The sequence below is a fragment of the Homo sapiens genome, chromosome 16, assembly GCF_000001405.40.
Source record: "Homo sapiens chromosome 16, GRCh38.p14 Primary Assembly".
Classification (NCBI taxonomy): Eukaryota; Metazoa; Chordata; class Mammalia; order Primates; family Hominidae; genus Homo; species Homo sapiens.
This window is the reverse complement of record NC_000016.10, coordinates 68,730,227-68,751,988: the sequence shown is the minus strand read 5'-3', so window position 1 is coordinate 68,751,988 and position 21,762 is coordinate 68,730,227. Positions and strand designations below refer to the sequence as shown.

At 48.8% G+C, this 21,762-nt stretch overlaps 2 protein-coding genes and 1 pseudogene across 5 annotated transcripts in view, besides 9 other annotated features; all 3 read right to left on the bottom strand.

Moving 5' to 3' along the window:
• Positions 1-14,697, bottom strand: part of CDH1 (cadherin 1) — a 98,246-nt gene extending 83,549 nt beyond the window's left edge. For all 4 annotated transcript variants that reach the window (NM_001317185.2, NM_004360.5, NM_001317186.2 and 1 more), the window contains exons 1-2: positions 14,526-14,697; positions 13,578-13,692 (exon numbers count right to left, since the gene is read on the bottom strand). Coding sequence is in view for 2 of the 4 variants with exons in the window: in NM_004360.5 (NP_004351.1) it covers positions 13,578-13,692; positions 14,526-14,573 (163 nt within the window). In the remaining 2 variants the exon portion in view is untranslated. The remainder of the gene's footprint in view (positions 1-13,577; positions 13,693-14,525) is intronic.
• Positions 5,751-5,895: an enhancer, noted in NCBI's record as "145 bp 16:68780069 sequence used in MPRA reporter constructs". NCBI's record gives its function as "activates a minimal TATA-containing promoter with rs12921546 allelic activity by MPRAs in UACC903 melanoma cells {active_cell/tissue: UACC903}" and the evidence as "EXISTENCE:reporter gene assay evidence [ECO:0000049][PMID:36423637]".
• Position 5,823: a transcriptional cis regulatory region, noted in NCBI's record as "rs12921546 or 16:68780069 MPRA-significant variant associated with a GWAS melanoma risk locus at 16q22.1". NCBI's record gives its function as "allelic transcriptional activity by MPRAs in UACC903 melanoma cells {active_cell/tissue: UACC903}" and the evidence as "EXISTENCE:reporter gene assay evidence [ECO:0000049][PMID:36423637]".
• Positions 6,388-6,973: an enhancer, noted in NCBI's record as "NANOG-H3K27ac-H3K4me1 hESC enhancer chr16:68778919-68779504 (GRCh37/hg19 assembly coordinates)". NCBI's record gives its function as "activates a minimal SCP1, AML or CMV promoter by ChIP-STARR-seq in primed H9 embryonic stem cells {active_cell/tissue: H9 hESC(primed)}" and the evidence as "EXISTENCE:reporter gene assay evidence [ECO:0000049][PMID:30033119]".
• Positions 9,416-9,510, bottom strand: RNA5SP429 (RNA, 5S ribosomal pseudogene 429; annotated as a pseudogene).
• Positions 9,574-9,718: an enhancer, noted in NCBI's record as "145 bp 16:68776246 sequence used in MPRA reporter constructs". NCBI's record gives its function as "activates a minimal TATA-containing promoter with rs1981870 allelic activity by MPRAs in C283T melanocytes {active_cell/tissue: C283T}" and the evidence as "EXISTENCE:reporter gene assay evidence [ECO:0000049][PMID:36423637]".
• Position 9,646: a transcriptional cis regulatory region, noted in NCBI's record as "rs1981870 or 16:68776246 MPRA-significant variant associated with a GWAS melanoma risk locus at 16q22.1". NCBI's record gives its function as "allelic transcriptional activity by MPRAs in C283T melanocytes {active_cell/tissue: C283T}" and the evidence as "EXISTENCE:reporter gene assay evidence [ECO:0000049][PMID:36423637]".
• Positions 14,582-14,651: a silencer, noted in NCBI's record as "silent region_7650". NCBI's record gives its function as "represses an Ori minimal core promoter by ATAC-STARR-seq in GM12878 lymphoblastoid cells {active_cell/tissue: GM12878}" and the evidence as "EXISTENCE:reporter gene assay evidence [ECO:0000049][PMID:35858748]".
• Positions 15,532-15,676: an enhancer, noted in NCBI's record as "145 bp 16:68770288 sequence used in MPRA reporter constructs". NCBI's record gives its function as "activates a minimal TATA-containing promoter with rs7194355 allelic activity by MPRAs in C283T melanocytes and UACC903 melanoma cells {active_cell/tissue: C283T | UACC903}" and the evidence as "EXISTENCE:reporter gene assay evidence [ECO:0000049][PMID:36423637]".
• Position 15,604: a transcriptional cis regulatory region, noted in NCBI's record as "rs7194355 or 16:68770288 MPRA-significant variant associated with a GWAS melanoma risk locus at 16q22.1". NCBI's record gives its function as "allelic transcriptional activity by MPRAs in C283T melanocytes and UACC903 melanoma cells {active_cell/tissue: C283T | UACC903}" and the evidence as "EXISTENCE:reporter gene assay evidence [ECO:0000049][PMID:36423637]".
• CDH3 (cadherin 3) overlaps positions 18,218-21,762 on the bottom strand; it is an 88,462-nt gene continuing 84,917 nt past the window's right edge. The window contains exon 17 of the mRNA XM_047433450.1: positions 18,218-19,920. The gene's annotated coding sequence lies outside the window, so the exon portion shown is untranslated. The remainder of the gene's footprint in view (positions 19,921-21,762) is intronic.
• Positions 18,724-19,399: an enhancer, noted in NCBI's record as "NANOG-H3K27ac-H3K4me1 hESC enhancer chr16:68766493-68767168 (GRCh37/hg19 assembly coordinates)". NCBI's record gives its function as "activates a minimal SCP1, AML or CMV promoter by ChIP-STARR-seq in primed H9 embryonic stem cells {active_cell/tissue: H9 hESC(primed)}" and the evidence as "EXISTENCE:reporter gene assay evidence [ECO:0000049][PMID:30033119]".

Here is a 21,762-nt window from a genome sequence, read left to right as displayed (position 1 = left end):
CAGAGTTGAGACTCCATCTCAAAAAAAAAAAAAAAATACAAAAATACAAAAATTAGCCAGGTGTGAGGGCAGGCACCTATAATCCCAGCTACTCTGGAGTCTGAGGTTGCAGTGAGCAGAGGTCAAACCACTGCACTCCAGCCTGGGTGACAGAGCAAGACTCTGTCTCAAAAAATAAATAAATTGGGCCAGGCACGGTGGCTCATCCCTATAATCCCAGCACTTTGGGAGGCCGAGGCAGGTGGATCACCTGAGGTTAGGAGTTTGAGACCAGTCTGGCCAACATGGTAAAACCCTGTCTCTACTAAAAATACAAAAATTAGCCAGGCGTGGTGGCCCATGCCTCTAACCCCAGCTACTCAGGAGGCTGAGGCAGGAGAACTGCTTGAACCCAGGAGGCAGAGGTTGCAGTGAGCCGAGATTGCGCCACTGCACTGCAGACTGGATGACAGAGTGAGACTCCGTCTCTAAATAAATAAATAAATAAATAAATAAGGGGTTCAAGAAAGTCCTCCCTGAGGGCGGGAGTGACATTTAAGCAAAGGCTTGCAGTCTTTTCAGGACAGAAAAGAGTGAGCTGTGCAGATATTATGGGAATGGTCACAGCCAGTGCAAAGGCCCTGAGGTAGAAGAGTGTGTAGTGTGTTCTAAGTATAACCAGGAAACAAAGTTGTTGGGCAAAGTGAGCATGCAGAAGAGTGGGAAGAGATGAGGACCCCAGGTACATGAGTCAAAGGACAGATCAGTGAAGCCTCAGAAGTCATAGAAAGGACTTAGGCGCTTATTTTGTTTGAAATGGGGAACCATGGGTAATTTGGAGCAGGCGTGATATTTTCTAACTTAATTTTAAAAACCATCAACTCTGACTGATGGATGGAGAAAAGACTGGCTTGGAGGAAGGGGAAGGAATAAGTGGGGAGACCAGGAAGGAAGCTGCTGCGACAATGAAGGTGAAGACATGCTGAAACTTCTCTTTTGGGAATAGAGAAACAGCTGGGCGTCATGCCTGTAAATCCAGCACTTTGGGAGGCCAAGGTGGGAAGATCCCTTGAGCCCAGGAGTTCCAGACCAGTCTGGGCAATATAGCGAGATCCCTTTTCCAAAGAAAATTTTAAAAATTAGCCGGGCATGGTGATGTGTGTCTGTATCCCAGCTACTTGGGAGGCTGAGGTGGGAGGATTGCTTGAGCCCGGGAGGTCGAGGCTGAAGTGAGCCAAGATGGCTTCACTGTACTCCAGCCTGAGCGACAGAGACCCTGTCTTAAAAAAAAAAAAAAAAAACCAAGGAGAAAGAAGGTGTACAGGCGTACCTGAATGCCAAACCACAGAATCAGGTGCTCTTCTTCTTCTTGAACTTGCCCAGGTCAAATAAATTTGAAAGGCTTTTGGCTTGTTACAAGCTCTCCTAATTACAAAGCCAGCTAATTATTATCTAGAACTTGGCCAATTATCCCACGGGGTCCTGAGCTGGCCACCGTTTATGATCTTGCTCATGTGGAACAGGTTCAACCCTTCTAGGCAGGCCCCATTAGGTCCCAGTAGTAACTTTCCCTCTTTCAGCAGCAAGAGCCATGCCCCAGATGCCTGCCTGGCCAAGCGGCTTGAGTAGGTCTCATTTGGAACAAGAGTTTCTTTAAGGCGGTTTCCCTGTCCCTACACTCCCAAGTCTTGAAGGCCAATATAAGTGGATTTTCTGGGACCCAGAGAGTTGAAAGAGACCGAAAGGAAGAGAAGCGCTGTTCAGCTAGCATTTATTTGGAAGTGAAGGTCAAGAGGGAAACCGGCTGAAACTGCCCATAAGCAAAAGACAAAAGAGGCCTTCCAAAGGCAAAAAAAAAAGCTGAATTCTAGCATCACAATCAAAATTAGTGAGAGGCAGGCCAGGCCTGGTGGCTCACACCTGTAATCCCAGCACTTCGAGAGGCCAAGATGGGAGGATTGCTTGAGCCCAGGAGTTCAAACCACTGCACTCCAGCCTGGGCAGCAGAGCAAGACTCTGTTTCTTAAAAAAAAAATCATAAAATAAATAAAATAAGTGAGATGAAAAAGGTACAATGACAGCTTCTCCGAAGGGAAGAAGGGAATTCGTTTCCTTTAGAAAGATGAATCAAGTCCCACTGGAGATGCTGAGTTTGGCGTTTCCTTTAGAAAGGTGAATCAGGTCCCACTGGAGATGCTGAGTTTGGCAACAGTGTAGTAGAGGGAACAGGATGAGAGACCTGGTTTTGGAAGGAGAAAGGCCTGGCCTGCAGCCCCAGCACTGCCATCACCTGGCGGGGTGACTTGGTGGCAAGCAGTGCAACCTCTGAGCCTGATTCCTCTTCCACAGTAGGGGATGATGAAAATTCCCACCTTGGACTACAGGGAGGATTAACTGTCAAGCGTGCAAGGTCACTGGCAGGACCCACTCTCTAACCCTGTGCAAATGGACACAAATAGTTGTCTTTCATCTGCTGGCCACCTTCAAGTAAACACTCTCCAAACAAACACCTTCTATGATTTAATCCTCCAGCGTGTGAGGTCTCTGAAAACTCTCTGTATCTATTGACACAAGATTAAGGAAAAAAGATCACTATCCTATACAAATCCTTCTTTAAACTGGTACTTCACATTATTCCAAGCACAGAGCTGACATTCCCAAATACCCCTTTGAAAACTCCACCTCTGTGTCCTTCAGACACTCAAACTCAACATATTCCTCACCAAAAACTAATTTTCCTCCCCTGAATTGTTCCTCTTTCTCCTCTGTTTCCAGTGTTGGTCCAAAGGAACATTCTGGAAGCTGCTGGCATTACTTCTTGTTTAGAACCACTTAGTTGCTGGAAACCTTCCCCCAAATCAAAACTGTCTATTGGTAGGGCACGGTGGCTCATGCCTGTAATCCCAGCACTTTGGGAGGCCAAGGCAGGTGGATCACCTGAGGTCAGGAGTTCAAGACCAGCCTGGCCAACTGATGAAATCCCGTCTCTATTAAAAGCACAAAAATTAGCCAGTCATGGTTGCAGGCACCTGTACTCAGCTACTCAGGAGGGTGAGGCAGGAGAATCGCTTGAACCCAGGAGGCAGAGGTTGCAGTGAGCCAAAATTGCACCATTGCACTCCAGCCTGGGCGACAAGAGCGAGACTCCGTCTCAAAACAAAAACAAAAACAAAAAAAACTGTTTTATCTTCAGACAGGCAGGCACATAACACCTCTCCCAACCTCTTTCTCAAAACCTCCACTGGGACAGTGGGAACCGACTGTCTCTAAACGCTGATGTGCAAATGGATCACAGTCTTTGTGGAAGGCAATATCTGCCAAAATTACAAATGCACATACCTGGACCCAGCAGGCTCACCTATGGAAATTCATCTTCCAGATACACCAGAATGTGTAGAAAAAAAATGTATATCCCAGGTTACTGTCTGAAATACTGTCTCCTAAAAGATAGGACACTACCCAGTGTCTATCTATCAGGGACTGGCTAAATAACCTATGGTGCATCCATACCGCATAGCTATAAAAAGAAAATAAAAGAACGTACCCCATAAATATACACACCAACTTTGTACCCACAGAAATTAAAATTAAACATTTTTAAAATGGCCGGACATGGTGGCTCACGCCTCTAATCCCAGCACTTTGGGAGGTCAAGGCGGGCAGATCACCTGAGGTTGGGAGATCAACCTGATGAACATGGAGAAACCCTGTCTCTACCAAAGAAACAAAGTTAGCCAGGTGTGGTGTAGCATGCCTGTAATCCTAGCTACTCTGGAGGCTGAAGCAGGATAATCACTTGAACCCGGGAGGCGGAGGTTGCGGTGAGCCGAGATCATGCCATTGCACTCCAGCCTGGGCAATGAGAGCGAAACTCTGTCTCAAAAAAAAAAAAAAAAAAGTAAATAATTTTTAAAAATTTTTTTAAAAATTAAAAAAAATAAAAATGGGCCAGGCACGGTGGCTCACGCCTGTAATCCCAGCACTTTGGGAAGCCGAGGCAGGTGGATTGCTTGAGCCCAGGAGTTTGAGACCAGCCTGGCCAACATGGTGAAACCCTGTCTCTACTAAAAATACAAAAATTAGCCGGGTGTGTTGGCATGTGTCTGTAGTCTCAGCTACTCGGGAGACTGAGGTATGAGAATCACTTGAACCAGGGAGGCGGAGACTGCAGCAAGCTGAGATTGCGCCTCTGCACTCCAGCCTGGACAATAGAGCAAGATTCGGTCTAAGGAAGATATGTGTGGAGAGAGAGAGAGAGAACATACAGATACGTTGCTGGGAGAAAAACAAGGTACAGAGCAGTGCTATCATATGCTATGCTTTGTGTAAAAGGATCATATGTTAGGAATTTACGCTGGCATAAAGAAAGAAGACTATGCTTGTATTTCCATAAGGAAACACTGAAAAGGATACACAAGAGACTAATGAAATCTGTTCCCTGTGCCCCAGGGAAGAACTGGGTGAAGCGTGGTTTGGGGTGGGAAGGAGACTTCACTGTCTGCCATACAGACATATATACAAGCTTTTTCATATATATATGAAGATGTATATTTAAACTTATTTTTTAACCGGGTGAATAATTTGCCTATGAAAAGCCCAGAAAGAGAAAACCCTCCATGACCCACGGCCCAAGGCCCAGAGGTACCCTGGCCCAGCTGCCTCTGCAGCCTCATCCTGGGACCCTCTCCTCCCTCCTCTTTCTGTGCCCAGGAAGGCACAGCTCCAGCCTTCTGCCTCCATGACCCTGCCACACCTTTGGGTACCCCACTTCCTCCTCCTGGAGTGCCCTTTCCCTTTCCTTGCATGGAAGACACCCTCTTACTCATCAAGGCCCAGCAGGTGAAGCTGACCACTCCTGGCATCCCCTGAACACATTCTCATTCCAGTGGCATTCTTGGAGCCTACTGGAATTACCTGCTGAGAGGTCTCTCTTGGAGATTTTCTGGAATCTCCCTGAGTGTAGGGGGTGAGTCTTAGGCCTGGGTGCACTGGATACTTCTCTGGGTCCCCCACTCCCACACCCATCCACCCCACTTTGGTGTGTTTGTTTGTTTGTTTGTTGAGATGGAGTATCGCTCTGTTGCCCAGGCTAGAGTGCAATGGCACAATCTCCGCTCATTGCAACCTCCGCCACCCAGATTCAAGTGATTCTCCTGCCTCGGCCTCCCAAGTAGCTGGGATTACAGGCATGCACCACCACGCCCGGCTAGCTTTTTTTATATTTAGCAGAAACGGGGTTTCACCATATTGGCCAGGATGGTTTTAAACTCCTGACCTCAAGTGATCCTCCCACCTTGGCCTCCCAAAGTGCTGGGATTACAGGCATGAGCCACTGCACCCAGCCTCCCATCCACCCCTCCTTGCATCCATAGAGTTCTCAATCCTGGGCATGGCAGAAGCACCAGCCTATCCCTCCCTGATCAAGGGTGTGACCTGGGATCCCTGGCCTTGGGCTGGACAACCAGGTGCCCACATCCTGGCTGGGGTATTTACTCATCAAACATCTAGCCCCTGGGATTGTCCAGGGAAATGCATTGAGTGGCAGCAGATATCTGAGGAGCTTGCTTATTTATTTTATTTATTTAGAGATGGAGTCTCGCTCTGTTGCCCAGGCTAGGGTGCAGTGGCACAATCTCGGCTCACTGCATCCTCCACCTCCCGTGTTCAAGCAGTTCTTCTGCCTCAGCCTCCCAAGTAGCAGGGATTACAGGAGCATGCCACCACGCCCAGCTGAATTTTTGAATTTTTAGTAGAGATGGGGTTTCACCACGTTGGTCAAGCTAGTCTCAAACTCCTGACCTCATGATCTGCCCGCCTTGGCCTCCCAAAGTGCAGATTACAGGCGTAAGCCACCGCACCTGGCCTGAGGAGCTTTTAAAAACATCAAATTCAAGGCTGGGTGTGGTGGCTCACGCGTGCGATCCCAGCACTTTGGGAGGTTGAGGCAGGCAGATCACCTGAGGTCAGGAGCTTGAGACCAGACTGGCCAACATGGTGAAACCGTCTCTACAAAAATACAAAAAAAATTGCCAGGCGTAGTGGTGCATGCCTGTAATCCCAGCTACTTGGGAGGCTGAGGCATGAGAATTGCTTGAAGCCAGGAGGCGGAGGTTGCAGTGAACTGAGATCGTGTCATTGCACTCCAGCCTGGGTGACAGAGCAAGACTTCATCCCAAAAAATAAATAAGTAAGTAAATGTCAAGTTCAGATCTCCACCCTTGGAGATTGGCTCTCAGTGAATCTGCAAGAGGGCAAGTCTGCATGAAGTGCCCTAGGTGATTTGATTTTTAGCCACAAGGATCTCAGGGGCTGGGACAGAGCGTTTTTGGCAGCAGGAGAACAGACAGGTATTCTTAGGCATGTGCATCATGAAATATATATACATATATATATATATATACACATACATATATATACACATATATTACACATACATATATATATACATATATATATATATTTTTTTTTTTTTTTTTGAGACAGGATCTCTATCAGCTGGAGTGCCGTGGTGCAATCATGGCTTACTGCAGCCTCGACCTCCCGGGCTTCACGCAATCCCCCCACCTCAGCCTCCTGAGTAGTTGGGACTACATGCACATGCCACCACGCCCAGCAAATTTTTGCATTTTTTTGATGCTAGTACCACAGGTGCACGCCACCATACCTGGCTAAATTTTTTTTTTAATCTTTGTAGAGATGGGGGTCTCGCCACGTTGCCCAGGCTGGTCTCAAACTCCTGGGCTCAAGTAATCCTGCGGCCTTGGCCTCCCAAAGCACTGGGATTACAGGTGTGAGCCACAGCATCTATCTGGCCTGGATAACTTTTAAAAGCCAAGCAGAAGCTGACAAGTTCAAGATCATCCCGACTCCCCCGGCCCTAGCTGCGCCTTGCCCCACTCCTCCCACTCCAGTTCTACACAACCTCCACGAGCAGGTCCCCTTTCCTAAGCCACAACAAACCCGTTCCGGTCCACCCTGAGCACCCTGCACAGTGGCAAGCAAAAAAACGCCAGTTTCTTCCTAACAAGGCACTAGGCTTAGTCACTGTTTGCAGTGCACTGTTTGCTTAACACAGAAGCAGGCAGGGTGAAGAAACTGGTTTGGCTGGTTTGCTGGGTGAGAGGGAGCGCAGGGGATCTTTTGAACCAAACGTAAAACATGGGAGACTTTCAAACAGACAGCACCAAGTCCTCCTGGGGCTCTAATATTTCATATTCACTGAACGCTTGACATACCATCCTATGATGTCTCCATGCTATTATGCTCATTTTACAGAGAGGGAAACTAAGTCCTTGGCTGACATCCCTAGGCTGGGAAGTGACATTGTCTGGATTGAAATCTAGGCAGTCTGATTCAAGAACCTTCTGAATTTGGGGAAGATGCCACCCAAATCTTGGGCAGAAGTGGAGGATTGGAGGCAGGTAAGAGGAAGGAAGGAGGAAGATGAAAAGTGCAGAAAGGGAGGAGGCCTAAACCCCAGTCCCCCAAGAGTAACAAGAACAAGCTGGGACACTGAGATCCCTGGCCTAGGGAAACTTACATTAACAAAGAGGAAGAGAGAAAGAAAGGGAGATGGCTAGAGATGGGGATAGAGAGAGAAAGAGTGAGCATGCACCACAGATTTCTTTTTATTTGACCAAAGGTGGAAAACACTTAAAAATGGCTATATGCCCTCCCATTTCCAGACTCAGGTTTGAGATCTCCCTGCCTGCCCTGCACAGCTGTTCAGAGGGAAGCTATGAACACAGTATCCCCAGCACACACAGAGCATAATGGAAGGTTCTAACCCACCAAATTCTTCCCCGCCCATTTACAATCAACCTTAAGGGCTGGACCAAGTCCATAGAGTTTGAGAGGGAAAAATATTGGCCAAGATAGCGATTTATTCATGTGTTCATTCATTTGCTCAAAATAACATTGAGAGTTTACTGTGTCCCTAAGAAATATCAACTACTGTTGAAAATATTCTCTCTACTTTCTCTCTTTACATTCCTGCCCATTGGCATGTATGTTCCGTCCAATCTGCCGTAACCTCAGGGTCTAGCCTGGTGCTAACACACAACAGGCACTCACTTTTGTGAACTAAATGAATGTACATACTTAATTCTCATAATAGATCAATAAGTATTACCGCCCCATTTTACAGGTGGGGAAACTGAGACTCATAGAAGTAAAGTGACTTATTCAAAGTCAAATAGCTAGTGGCTAAAATTCAAACCTAGTTTCCTGTACTTCCTCGCTGAAGGATCCTAAACAGCCACTGCTGAATGATTTCATTCTCCTTTTTGAAAGCCTTGTGCCCTCAAAGGAGATAGAGCTGAGGCAGGATAGAAACCCAGGAAGGGGCCCGGCTCGGTGGCTCACGCCTGTAATCCCAGCACTTAGGGAGGCTGAGGCAGGTAGACCACTTTGAGCTCAGGAGTTCAAGACCAGCCTGACATCATGGTGAAACCCCGAATCTACTAAAAATACAAAAATTAGCTGGGCATGCTTCTGCGTGCCTATAATCCCAGCTACTCAGGAGGCTGAGGCTGGAGAATCACTTGAACATGGCAGGCGGGGGTTGCAGTGAGCTGAGATCCTACCTCTCTACACTCCAGCCTGAGCGACAGAGTGACACTCCGTCTCAAAAGAAAGAAAAGAAAAGAAAGAAAGAAAGAAAGAAAGAAAGAAAGAAAGAAAGAAAGAAAGAAAGAAAGAAAGAAAGAAAGAAAGAAAGAAAGAAAGAGACCCAGCAAGGATTGGATTGGGACAGGTGCCTCTCGGGGATTTTAGGGTTTGGGCAGCTTCTGGGAGATACGAGAGCTTCAGCCTCTGGCGTATCTGGGGCTACCTTGGAAGGGAATGTGTAACAGACACAAGGTGAGCATTTTGGAAGAAAAGCCTCACCCAATAAAAAGCCCTGGAGAGCAAACAGGGATTTCCATAACCACCTGGCAGAGAGGGGCAGGCAGGGCCCCACTGGGAGGAAGCAGCAGCCTGCCTTCTTTACATGGCCTTGCCGGGCCCAAGACTTTCCACCTCCGCACCTCCAGAGACACAAAGGCAAGGCCAGGAGGGCGGCCCACTGGTCTTCTTTCCCAGTAAGCTCAGATCAACCTTTGTCACAGACATGAGTAATTGGGGAAGTGACTTTTATGAGTTTGAGGGGTAGGGGGTGGGGATCTGATGATGTAAGGTGATCCCAAAGCTGGTTTCTGGGTTTGCTTTTTAAAAGTCTAATTGTATTAGGGAGGCTGCATACTGTTTTCTGAAACGTTCAGCACATCCTTCAGAAAGGAGGGGAAATGGCCGGGCACAGTGGCTCACGCCTGTAATCCCAGCACTTTGGGAGGCCAAGGTGGGCGGATCACCTGAGGCCAGGAGTTTGCCCAGCCTGGGCAACAAGAGCAAAACTCCAGATTGTAGACCAGCCTAACCAACATGGTGAAACCCTGTCTCCCATCCAAGTACTAGTACTAACCAGGCCCGACCCTGCTTAGCTTCCGAGATCAGACGAGATCGGGCGCGTTCAGGGTGGTATGGCCGTAGTCGAAACCCTGTCTCTACTAAAAATACAAAAATTAGCCAGGCATGGAGGCACACACCTGTAGTCCCAGCTACTAGGGAGGCTGAGGCAGGAGAATCACTGGAACCTGGGAGGCAGAGGTTGCAGTGAGCCGAGATCACGTCACTGCACTCCAGTCTGGGCAACAGAGCGAGACTCCGTCTCAAAAAAAAAAAAGGAGGGGAAATGGGTGTATTTAATCCACAAAGTTTGGGTGCCTGTGAACTAGGTCAACCCCTCAAGCAGCCAAACCTCAACACTGAAATATAGGCCCTGTGTTTCCAAGGCCAGATTGCAGAGCAAGCAAAGGAAGAAAACAATCACTGGGAAAGCCTGCCAGCTTTTCTTTTTTCCGCGCCTGAGTCAACTTACAGCTGTGGTTACTAGGCTAATACTTCAGAGATCCCAAACTGTCTAATAGCCTGGGTTTCTCAGACCGGTGTGTGCTATGAAGAAGGAAAATAAGCAGCAACTCTAAAGGACTGGGTTATTAGCCAGGCATGGTGACTCACACATGTAATCCCAACACTTTGGGAGGCCAAGGCAGGCGGATCACCTGAGGTCAGGAGTTTGAGACCAGCCTGACCAATATGATGAAATCCTGTCTCTACTAAAAATACAAAGGCATGGTGGCATGTGCCTGCAATCCCAGCTGCTCAGGAGGCTGAGACAGGAGAATTGCTTGAACTGAGGAAGCAGAGGTTGCAGTGAGCCGAGATCGCACCTCTGCACTCCAGGCTGGGCGGCAAGAGCAAAACTCCGTCTCAAAACAAAAACTGGTTTATTACAGTTGAGTTTGGTTTTTTTTTTTTTTGTAAAGGTCTTCATTCTAGAAGCTGGAGATAAACCAATGGAATAAATACAAGGTTGAGATCATGGGGTCAGCCACAGCATGGGGCAGAGGAATGACCCTAGCAAACACTCCAAAGTCCCCTGAGTTAAGACCCTACAGCTGCCTGTGCACAAAAAGTGACAGGTTTCAAGTTTCAAAATTCCCATGGAGTAAATTCTCCATGAAGCCAATGTCTAAACCTGGTGCCAATGTTACATCCATCCCTTCACTTCCGTGCACTGTCCAAAGAGAGTCAGGCCACATCCCAAGTCCTAGCGGCCTTTTAAAATCACAAGCCAGTTCCTCAGATTGAACGTGTGATTTTACCAGAAGGGCACTTCCATCCTGGGGCGACTCCACATTGGACTGATACAAGGAGACCCCACAGTCCAAAAAAGCCAAAACAAATATTAAATGTCAGGAAATCTGTTGTGTGGGGGTGGGGGTCTGTGAACATAAAGGGAACTGAAACCAACCACACCAGAGGCCTGCGGATTCTGTGTGAAGGCTGCCTCTTCCCACTAAATCACCAGTCCCAGGGTCCCCCGCCACCTCCCCCGGGTCTGACCCATCTCCATCATCACCACCCCCTCTCGGAGGTCCCACCCTGTCAACACCTCCATTCTCAGCTTACTTCACATTGGACACTAATTCCCCAAACACCTTTTTTCTTTGTTTTTGTTTTTTCAGGTTATTGAGGTGAAAAACAAGGAGAAAAAGGAAGAGAAAAGACCAACTGCGGATGCTTCAGATTACAGAATTGCTTTATGCCTCAGTTTCCTCACTTGCAAAGTAGGAAGAATAACAGTGCCCACCCTCCTAACGTTCTAGTGAAGACTAAATGAGGTAAAATATGTGAAGCACTTGCCCCAGAGTCTGAGGCAAAAGTGAATACGTGTCACTATTAATTATTAACATATTAGTGTTAATATGTAATAATATTATTGGTCAAACACAGGAGCTTAGAAGGGAGAAATAAAAACCAGACCAACCCACCCTTGGTGCTACCAAATATCTTGGTGCAGGAAAACAAAGTCACCAGCCTTAGCACTGGGACACCCCAGACGCATGCTCAGATACAAGCTTGTTTCTAGCCCCTGCCTTGCTCTCCAAGACTGGATCAAGTTTGCCTTCCCCGAGAAGCCACTCCTCAATGCCCACTGACATCAAAATATCCAATCCCCAGCACTCTGGGAGGCCAAGGCGGGTGAATCACTTGAGCCCAGGAGTTAGAGATAACTTCTGATCCAATAGAAAGCTCTAGAGCACACAGAGCAAATATACTTCATCAGTCGAGCTGTAGTTTCTCTGTAAAAAACTTCGAATGACTTCCAAAGTTCAAAAAAAAAATGTAAAGACAACAGCGTGATTGCTAAAGATTCATGTGGTCAAAGACTGGAAGAATGACACAGTGGAGGTGTTCCCTCAGGGGAATTGTGGGTGATTTCTCTTAAAAAAAAAATGCCTCTTATTGTGATACCCAATCAAGTAAAATCATGAGAGAGGAGAAAGTGGTTTGATATAAAGGAAGCACTTGGGATTCAGTGAAACCAGAAGAGAAACTAGCCCCTTCCCTTGCTCCCTGGACAACAGTCAAGTGGAACAAAGCAAACTCTAGATTGTCACAACGATAAGGCCTAGAAGTACATTGGGTGTATGCATTTTCATCCTGAGTCAGAACTACCATGCTTTTTTTAAAAAAAGATCATTATTCCTGGCCAGGCGTGCTGGCTCATGCCTGTAATCCCAGCACTTTGGGAGATTGAGGCAGGTGGGTCACCTGAGGTCAGGAGATCCAGACCAGCCTGGCCAACATGGTGAAACCCCTTCTCTGCTAAAACTACAAAAAATTAGCTGGGCATGGTGGTGGCACCTGTAATCCCAGCTACTCAGGAGGCTGAGGCAGGAGAATCACTTGAACCTGGGAGCCAGAGGTGGCAGTGAGCCGAGATCACGCCATTACACTCCAGCCTGGGCAACAAGAGTAAAACTCCATCTCAAAAAAAAAAAAAAAAAAAAAAATCATTATTCCTTGGGGGAAACAGTACCTGTATCAAGATGTTTTGGTCCAGGCACAGTCTCTCAGGCCTGCAATCCCAGCACTTTGAGAGGCTGAGACAGAAGGATCCTTTGAGCCCAAGAGTTCAACACCAGCATGGGCAACATGGAGAGACTCCTGTCTCTAAAAAAAAATTTATTTTTTATTTATTTTTTGAGACGGAGTCTTGCTCTGTCACCCAGGTTGGAGTGCGGTGGCACTATCTCAGCTCACTGCAACCTCTGCCTCCTGGGTTTAAGCAATTCTCCTGCCTCAGCCTCCTGAGTAGCTAGGATTACAGGCACACGCCACCATGCCCGGCTAATTTTTATATTTTTATTTAGTAGAGATGGGGTTTCACCATGTTGGCCAGGCTGGTCTCGAACTCCTGACCTTGTGATCCGCCCACCTCGGCCTCCCAAAGTGCTGGGATTACAGGCGTTAGCCACTGCGCCCAGCCTAAAAAAAAGTTAAAATTATCCAGGTGTGGTGGCACATGCCCATGATAACCAGCTACTAGGGAGGCTGAGATGGGAAGGATCACTTGAGCCCAGAGGATGGAGGCTGCAGTAAGCTATGATTGTGCCACTGCACTCCAGCTTGGGCAACAGAGCAAGACCCTGTCTTTAAAAAAAAAAAAAAAAAAAAAAAAAAAAGCTTTTATATCTGTAAACAAAAGCCACAGCCCAGTAACCAAGAGAGGGCTGCTCTTCAGTCATCCCAGAGATGGTGCTTAATGGGGCCTGGGAGTCAGATCCCAGTTCAGATATCTGCTCTGCTGACCCTGAGCAAGTGGACGTCACTCTCTTAGCCTCGGTTTGCTCAACTGTAAAACGGGAATACTCCTGCCAGGCCTTCCCACCCACCAGGTTTTTGCAGTCTGAAATGAGAGACTGTCTCTACAGTGCTGAGGGCAATAAGAGAAATACGAAGGCTTCTAGTAAGTGCCCTCAACCTCCTCTTCTTTATAACATAGTCAACAACCAGGCAGGGTTACCCCCTCCACCACAGTGTTCAGTCGTAAACGTTTGGATCCCCAAATCTGCGTAAATTCCAAGGGGTGTCGTTTGAGCCAAGGAGGGAGCTTGCCCATTGCAACCCAGGGGTGTGGGAGTGCAATTTCTCGGCCCCTTTCCAACCCCTCCCTACTCCGCCCAGGGACACCGGCAGCGCGCCCTCACCTCTGCCCAGGACGCGGCCTCTCTCCAGGTGGCGCCGGGGCACCGTGAACGTGTAGCTCTCGGCGTCAAAGCCAGGGTGGCAGGGCTCCGGCTCCTGGCAGAGCCAAGAGGAGACCTGGGGTGGGGGAAAGGTAGATGGAACCGGGTGACTCGGAGGGTTCCCTCCTGCTCACCGAAACCAACAGCGCCGCCCCTCCCTCGCTCCCGGCGTCGGGATTGGGGGAGGACCCCAGCCCGCAGCCCCGGGACGGGCGGGCAGCGACGTCACCCTCCCCCACCCCGAAACCTACGGCCGCCGAGCCCCCAGGAACTCCCGGGAGGGGGCCGCCGAGTCACCCCCTCAAGACCTAGCCCACCGTTCCCTTTCAGTCTCCTTTCTCATTTTATTGGAGATGTCTTTATTCTCCAGTACCCCACTTTCCTTAGACCGGGAATGCACCACTCCTCAGAGCGAGGGGCGCTCCCACCTCCTCCGACCTCACTTTCTTATCCCCGGGACCCTCACTCCTATTTACGACCTTTCTTGGCATGGCAGGTGCCTTTATTTCTACGGATGCCCCTCTCCTTCCCTCGAAGATCGTCCCCACGACTCCTGGCTCCCCCTCGACTTGCACCAGGGCACCCCTTCTCCACACCCCACCCCCTACACCCCGCTTCACGCCCCCACCGCCCGCGCGAGCCCACCCCGCGGACTCCGCGGCCAGACGCCCCCGCCTCGGTCTGCGCTGGAGGGGGCAGGAAAGCCGCGCTCGCCCCTCACCACCCACCCCCCACTCCCATCACTGGGGGGTCCGGAGCGCGCGAGGCTTCCAGGCCGCTCCGCTCCTCAGGACCCGAACTTTCTTGGAAGAAGGGAAGCGGTGACGACGGGAGAGGAAGGGGCGCAGGGCTGGGGCGCGGAGCTTGCGGCCCGAATGCGTCCCTCGCAAGTCAGGGGATCCGGGGTACCTGCAGCAGCAGCAGCAGCGCCGAGAGGCTGCGGCTCCAAGGGCCCATGGCTGGCCGGGGACGCCGAGCGAGGGCAGGCGCCGGGTGCGGTCGGGTCGGGCCGGGCTGGAGCGGGCTGGAGTCTGAACTGACTTCCGCAAGCTCACAGGTGCTTTGCAGTTCCGACGCCACTGAGAGGGGGTGCGTGGCTGCAGCCAGGTGAGCCCCGGAGGCACCGCCCCCCGTACCGCTGATTGGCTGAGGGTTCACCTGCCGGCCACAGCCAATCAGCAGCGCGGACCCCTCCCCAGGGCGGAGCTGACGGCCCGCCCACCCGGCCTCGCATAGACGCGGTGACCCTCTAGCCTGGAGTTGCTAGGGTCTAGGTGGGTTATGGGACCTGCACGGTTCTGATTCCACTGGGTTCGAATCCCAGCCCCGCCGGTGGCTCACTAAGACCTGGGATCAGAAAGGGCTTTTACACTTGGCTGAGTTCTTTTGTTTTTTGGGATTTTTTGTTTGTTCGTTTTGGAGATGGGGTCTCACTCTTTCACCCAAGCTGGAGTGCAGTGGTGCGATCACAGCTCACTGCAGCCTCGAACTCCTGGGCTCAAGCGGTCCTCTGGCCCCAGCCTCTCTAGTAGCTGGGAGTACAGGTGCACACCACCACGCCAGGCTAATTTTTTTTTCTTTTGCCTTTTTGTAGAGAGACAAGTCGGGGCGGACAGGGGCAGTGGGGGCGCTGTGTCTCCCTGTATTGCCCAGCCTGGTCTCGAACTCCTGGGCTGAAGCGATCCTCCTGCCTTGGCCTCCCAAAGTGCTAGGATTTCAGGTGTGAGCCATGAGCCACTGAGCTAGCAGCCTAATTTTTTGTTTGTTTGTTTTGTTTGTATTTTTTGAGACGGAGTCTCGCTCTGTCTTGCCCAGGCTGGAGTGCAGTGGCACGATCTCGGCTCACTGCAACCTCCGCCTGCCGGGTTCAAGAGACTCTCCTGTCTCAGCCTATTGAGTAGCTGGGACTACAGGCGTGTGCCACCACACCGGCTAATTTTGTATTTTTAGTACAGACGGGGTTTCACCATGTTGGCCAGGCTGGTCTGGAACTCCTGACCTCAGGTGATCCACCCTCTTCAGCCTCCTGAAGTGTTGGATTACAGGCGTGAGCCACTGCACTCTGCCTCGAGCGGCCTAATTTTTTAAAAAATTTTTCTAGAGAGGGGATCTCACTATGTTGCCGAGGCTGATCTCAAATTTCTGAACTCAGGCGATCCTCCTGCCTCAGCCCCTTTACTGAGTTCTCATTTTTTAATCTAGTCTTTTTTAACTGTAGAGCTTCATGGGTTAGTGAGTCAGCAAATTGATTCCCTAGGTCAGGACCACCTCCCAAAGCCTCAGTTTCTCCACCCTCCTAATGGGAATAATGATCAGAAATGTCTCCCTATGCTGTTGTGGGACTCCCATACAATTAAAATGACAAATGTTTCTTGAGCCATAAATGCTCTGTACAGAAGTGAGGGGTAAAAATAGTAACAATAGGGCCAGGCATGGTGGCTCACGCCTGTAATCCCAGCACTTTGGGAGGCCGAGGCGGGCAGATCACGAGGTCAGGAGATTGAGACCATCCTGGCTAACGCAGTGAAACCCCGTCTCTACTAAAAATACAAAAAATTAGCCAGGCGTGGTGGTGGGCGCCTGTAGTCCCAGCTACTCGGGAGGCTGAGGCAGGAGAATGGCATGAACCTGGGAGGTGGAGCTTGCAGTGAGCCGAGATCGCGCCACTGTACTCCAGCCTGGGCGACAGAGCAAGACTCTGTCTCAAAAAAAAAAAAAAAAAAAAAATAGTAACAATAGGTGCTGGACATTGAAGATTACTGTGCCAGTCTCTGTGCTAAGCATTTGACACTGACCAGCTCTTTTTTTTTTGAGACGGAGTCCTGCTCTGTCGCCCAGGCTGGAGTGCAATGGTGTGTTCTTGGCTCACTGCAACCTTCGCCTCTTGGGTTCAAGCGGTTCTCCTCTATCAGCCTCCTGAGTAGCTGGGATTACAGGCATGCGCCACCACGACTGGCTAATTTTTGTATTTTTAGTAGAGACAGGGTTTCATCATGTTGGCCAGGCTGGTCTTGAACTCCTGTCCTCAGATGATCCACCTGCCTCAGCCTCCCAAAGTGCTGGGATTACAGGCATGAGCCACCGTGCCCAGCCACTGACCAGCTCATTTAAGCTCATTTCAAAACAACCCAAGAGCTGTATTATTATTCCCATATGATAGATGGGCAACTGAAGCTTAGAGAGATTGAGGCCAATGAGAGGTGGCGCAGGACTGGAACCAACCTCTCTGATTCCAGGGCCTTTCTTCTAACAATCAGCTTCATCTCATGTGGTCCCAGTCTTCCAGCTGGAGCTGCAGTTTTCAGTCTGTTTTTTGATGTTGACCTGGAAGAGACCTTTAGAGTTCACCCAAACCTATGATTTGCAAATAACTTGTTCAATGTCACATAGGCAGGTCAATGTCAAAGCCAAAGACCAAAACCCAGGATCTTCTGACCCCCAGAGTGGGGCTTTTAATGCCACAGCCACACCATGGCCACCATCACCTTCTCCAGAGAATTCTGTCCCCAGTGAAATAATTTTAGGATCAAAAATAGAATAGATAGGGGCCAAAGGTCTCAGGTCCTGGGCCAGTGGCCCTCCAGCACCCGCCGTCCTCCATCAAAAGACAAAAACAGAATAGACAGGCAAATGTTAGGTTAGACAACTTCCCTGTCTGACTCCCTGTGGCCAGCCACGTCTGGGTGGCTTGTCTACCCCGACAAGGGCACCTCCTTTCCCTTTATCCTTCAAGCATGGTTAGAACTACACAGCATTAAGTGGAGTCAGCCACTCACTAGCCCTGTGACCTTGGGGAAGTCAGTGTTCTCCTTTGTATAAGTGAATTGGCATGAGCTAATACAAAAACAATCGCTAAGCAGAGTTCTTGGCTCATCATAGCAACTGCTCAATAAATATTTGGAGTAGGGGTTACTCTTTCAAAAGGCCCAGCCCCTATTTCGCTTCCTCCTGGGGAAAGCCATGTTTGGAATATTTCACCCAGAGCTAAAGGTGCCTCTGAGTCCATCAAGTAATTTCTCAAATGCAGACGATTTCTGGGCAGCCCAGCACCGCCCCCCCCAACAACCTGTCCCCTCAATTTTAATGAGTTTCCAATCAGGTCTTTTGGATGTCGTATTTTGGCTCCCTCTGCTCTTAACCCACCAGGAGGCTCAGAGGGAGAAGGCTCCGGTATTTCCTTTCCCACTAGGATCGTGCCTTGAACAAGATAATGGAAATACAGAAAGAGGCGTTTCCCCCATGGGGCTGTACTGTCTGCTTATTTTTTTCCTCTCAGTTATGTAAAAATACATATTTTATACCATCGCTGGGCCCTGGGAGCCTTTAGGGCTTTACTTTCTTCTACCCAGCAAGCCTTGGCCTCGTAACTCTGCAGCGACTCTCATCGACTCTTCCATTACACTCTGATAATTCAATAAAAAGGATTTTAGAAAACAATTAGGGGCAGCAAAGTCAGGTCAGGCCTGATGCATTCTTCAGACTTCTCGGCAAGTCCTTCTCCAAGCTCCAAAGACAGTAGATCAGGTGTCCAGGGTGAGGCGGGAACACAGAGGGGCTCCTTGTGGAAGACAGGTGCTGTGTGACTTTCGCAACACACTGAATTGCTTCTCTGTTTCCTATTTATTTATTTAGTGACAAGGTCTTGCTCTGTTGCCCCGGCTGGAGTGCAATGGCGCGATCTCGGCTCACTGCACTCTCTGCCTCCCAGGTTCAAGAGATTCTTGTGCCTCAGCCTCCTGAGTAGCTGTGATTACAGACACACGTCACCATGTCTGGCTAATTTTTGTATTTTAGTAGAGACGGGATTTCGCCATGTTGGCCAGGCTGGTCTCAAACTCCTGACCTCAAGTGATCCACCTACCTCAGCCTCCCAAAGTGCTGGGATTACAGGTGTGAGCCACTGTGCCTGCCCTCTGTTTTCTCTTGTATCAAACAGGGATACCTAAGCAGGCCTGGTGGCTCACAACTGTAATCGCAGCACTTTGGGAGGCTAGTTGGGAGGTGAGAAGATTACTTGAGCCCAGGAGTTTGAGACCAGTCTGGGCAACATGGTGAAACCCCATCTCCCCAACAAATATTATTTTGAATTAGCTGGACATGGCAGTGCATGCCTGTAGTCCCAGCTACTCTGGAGGCTGAGGTAGGAGGATCATTTGAGCACTGGAGCCACTTCACTCCAGCCTGGATTCACTTCTGGCTCTGCCATTAGTTGAGAAGCATAAGTCATTTTATCTCCACCATCTTGGTTTCCTCATCTGTAAAATGGGAATGTTGATAGCACTTAATTCATAAGGTTCTTGTAAACACTCTGCAAAGGTGAGTGATTAGCCCTCTTGGCCCAATACATTCCCTTTCCAGTTCTAGGAAAAATTGTGAGCTGCCTGGAGCCTCCCCTCCCCCAGGCTCTCCTTCCCCCACCCCCGCCACTAAAGCTCCTCAGGTTATCTCTTGCATCTACTGGAGAAAATTCTTTCATGCCGGCCAGCTCATCATTTCGAACCTCCCAGGGCCATTTGCACTTTAAAGAGGGCTCTAGAGAAAGACTTTTCTTCTTTCAAAGGAGTTGTAAATGCTGTCCAGGGCTTTTAACCTGGTGTCTGTGGATGGGCTCTGGTGGGGTCCCTGAATCCCCTGAGACTGTACACAAACCTGTCCGTGCAGGTGATAAGGCCCATTGCTTTCCTAACATCTCAACTGGGGAAAACCCAAACTCCAGGAGTTGAGCTTTCTCTGAGATCTTGCTGAGATCCAGCGCTAACAGTGGAATTTCAGGCATCACTGGGGAAAAGAAATGTTTGGCCAGAGGCCTTGCCCTTCAGATCACCGCAGATAGATAAGAGACCCTGTCACCTGGCAGATAACAGACCCCGCATGATGGGATCACAGACTCCAGGTTTCCTTATGGCAGAGGACAGACTTTCACTTCCTGGGTGTTTTGGCCACTGGCCTGCCTGGAGGCTAAAGATTAATCCTTCAGGCAGTCTTGTCCCTTTCATCTCCTGGCAAGGGGTGCAGTCATAGGGTTCAGATTGGGGTGGGAGGTGCCCCTCTCCAGACCTCTGCTGAGAAGAGTCCAACCGCCAGCCCACTGGGGAGGAATCCCCAGAGAAACTGGAATTGCTAGGGATTACAGCCTGATCAGGCTCCTGGCTAGGTAGGGTAGAGGAGGCTCCCTTCCTGCTGCTCCTAGAGGCTCCTGAAACCTCTGCTGGGCTGGGCTGCCTGCCAGCATGGAGGGGCGGGAACTGGCTATACCGCCTCCAGTTGAAACGGTGCTAACTGATAGGGGTGCCGCCCTTCCAGTCTGCAAAAAAAAAAAAACAGTTTTATTTCAAACACAAAGTAAAGAAAATAGTGTAACACACACTACATATAGTATAATGAAACCACAGGTATTCATCACCCAGCCCCAACAGTAGTTTTTTGCAATTTTTAAAGTTTTTGTAAACTTTGTAATTGTACCAAATCTTCTTTCATCTTTCTACCTTTGCATTTTTATTTTTGTCTTTGCAGAATTTTTTGTTTGTTTGTTTTTGAGACAGGATCTAACTCTGTCACCCCGGCTGGAGTACAGTGGCCCAATCTCGGCTCACTGCAGCCATTACCTCCTGGGCTCAAGCCAATCCTCCCACCTCAGCCTCCCAAGTAGCTGAGAAGGCAGGCATGAGCCACCACACCAGGTTAATTTTTGTATTTTTTGTAGAGACGGGGTTTCATCTTGTTGCCCAGGCTGGTCTCAAACTCCTGAGCTCAAACAATCCACCTGCCTTGGCCTCCCAAAGTGCTGGGATTACAAACATGAGCCATCACGCCCAAATTGTATATATATATATGTGTGTGTGTGTGTGTGTGTGTGTATATGTGTGTGTGTATATATATATGTGTATATACGTGTGTGTGTATATATATATGTGTATATACGTGTGTGTGTATATATATGTGTATATATGTGTATATGTATATATATATATATATATTTTTTTTTTTTTTTTTTTTTTTTTTTTGAGACGGAGTTTCACTCTTGTTGCCCAGGCTGGAGTGCTGGAGTGCAATGGCGTGATCTCGGCTCACTGCAACCTCTGCCTCCTGAGTTCAAACCATTCTCCTGCCTCAGCCTCCCAAGTAGCTGGGATTACAGGCATGCGCCACCACACCTGGCTAATTATTCTATTTTTAGTAGAGACAGGGTTTCACCATGTTGGTCATCCTGGTCTTGAACTCCAGCCCTAATATATATATATAATTATTTTTTATAATTATATATGTATTTTATAATTATATATATTTTTATAATTATATATATATATATATATATATATATATATTTTTTTTTTTTTTTTTTTTTTTTTTTTGAGACGGAGTTTCCCTCTTGTTGTCCAGGCTGGAGTGCAATGGTAAAATCTTGGCTCACCACAACCTCGGCCTCTTGGATTCAAGCCATTCTCCTGCCTCAGCCTCCTCAGTAGCTGGGACTACAGGCATGCACCACCACACCTGGCTAATTTTGTATTTTTAGTAGAGACGGGGTTTCTCCATGTTGGTCAGGTTGGTCTCGAACTCCCGACCTCAGGTGATCCGCCCACCTTGGCCTCCCAAAGTGCTGGGATTACAGGTGTGAGCCACCACACCCGGCCCAAATAATATTTTAAAGCAAATCCCAGATAACATTTCTCCTGTAAATATCTCAGTCTGCATATCTGAGAAAGACATCTTTTAAACATGATCCCATGCCATTAGTAAAGCACCTAATAAAATTCACAGTAGTTCCTCAATATCATTGAATGGCTAAGCCACATTTTAAAAAATGTCTTTTAAACAATTTTTTTTGTTTGTTTGTTTTTGTTTTTGAGACAGAGTTTCACTCTTGTTGCCCAGGCTGGGTGCAATGACGTGATCTCGGCTCAACGCAACTTCCGTCTCCTGGGTTCAAGCAATTCTCCTGCCTCAGCCTCCTGAGTAGCTAGGATTACAGGCATGTACCACCAAACCCAGCTAATTTTGTGGTTTTAGTAGAGACGGGGTTTCTGCATGTTGGTCAGGCAGGTCTCCAACTCCCGACCTCAAGTGATCCGCCCGCCTCAGCCTCCCAAAGTGCTGGGATTACAGGCATGAGCCACCGTGCCCGGCTTTTTTTTTTTTTTAGGTG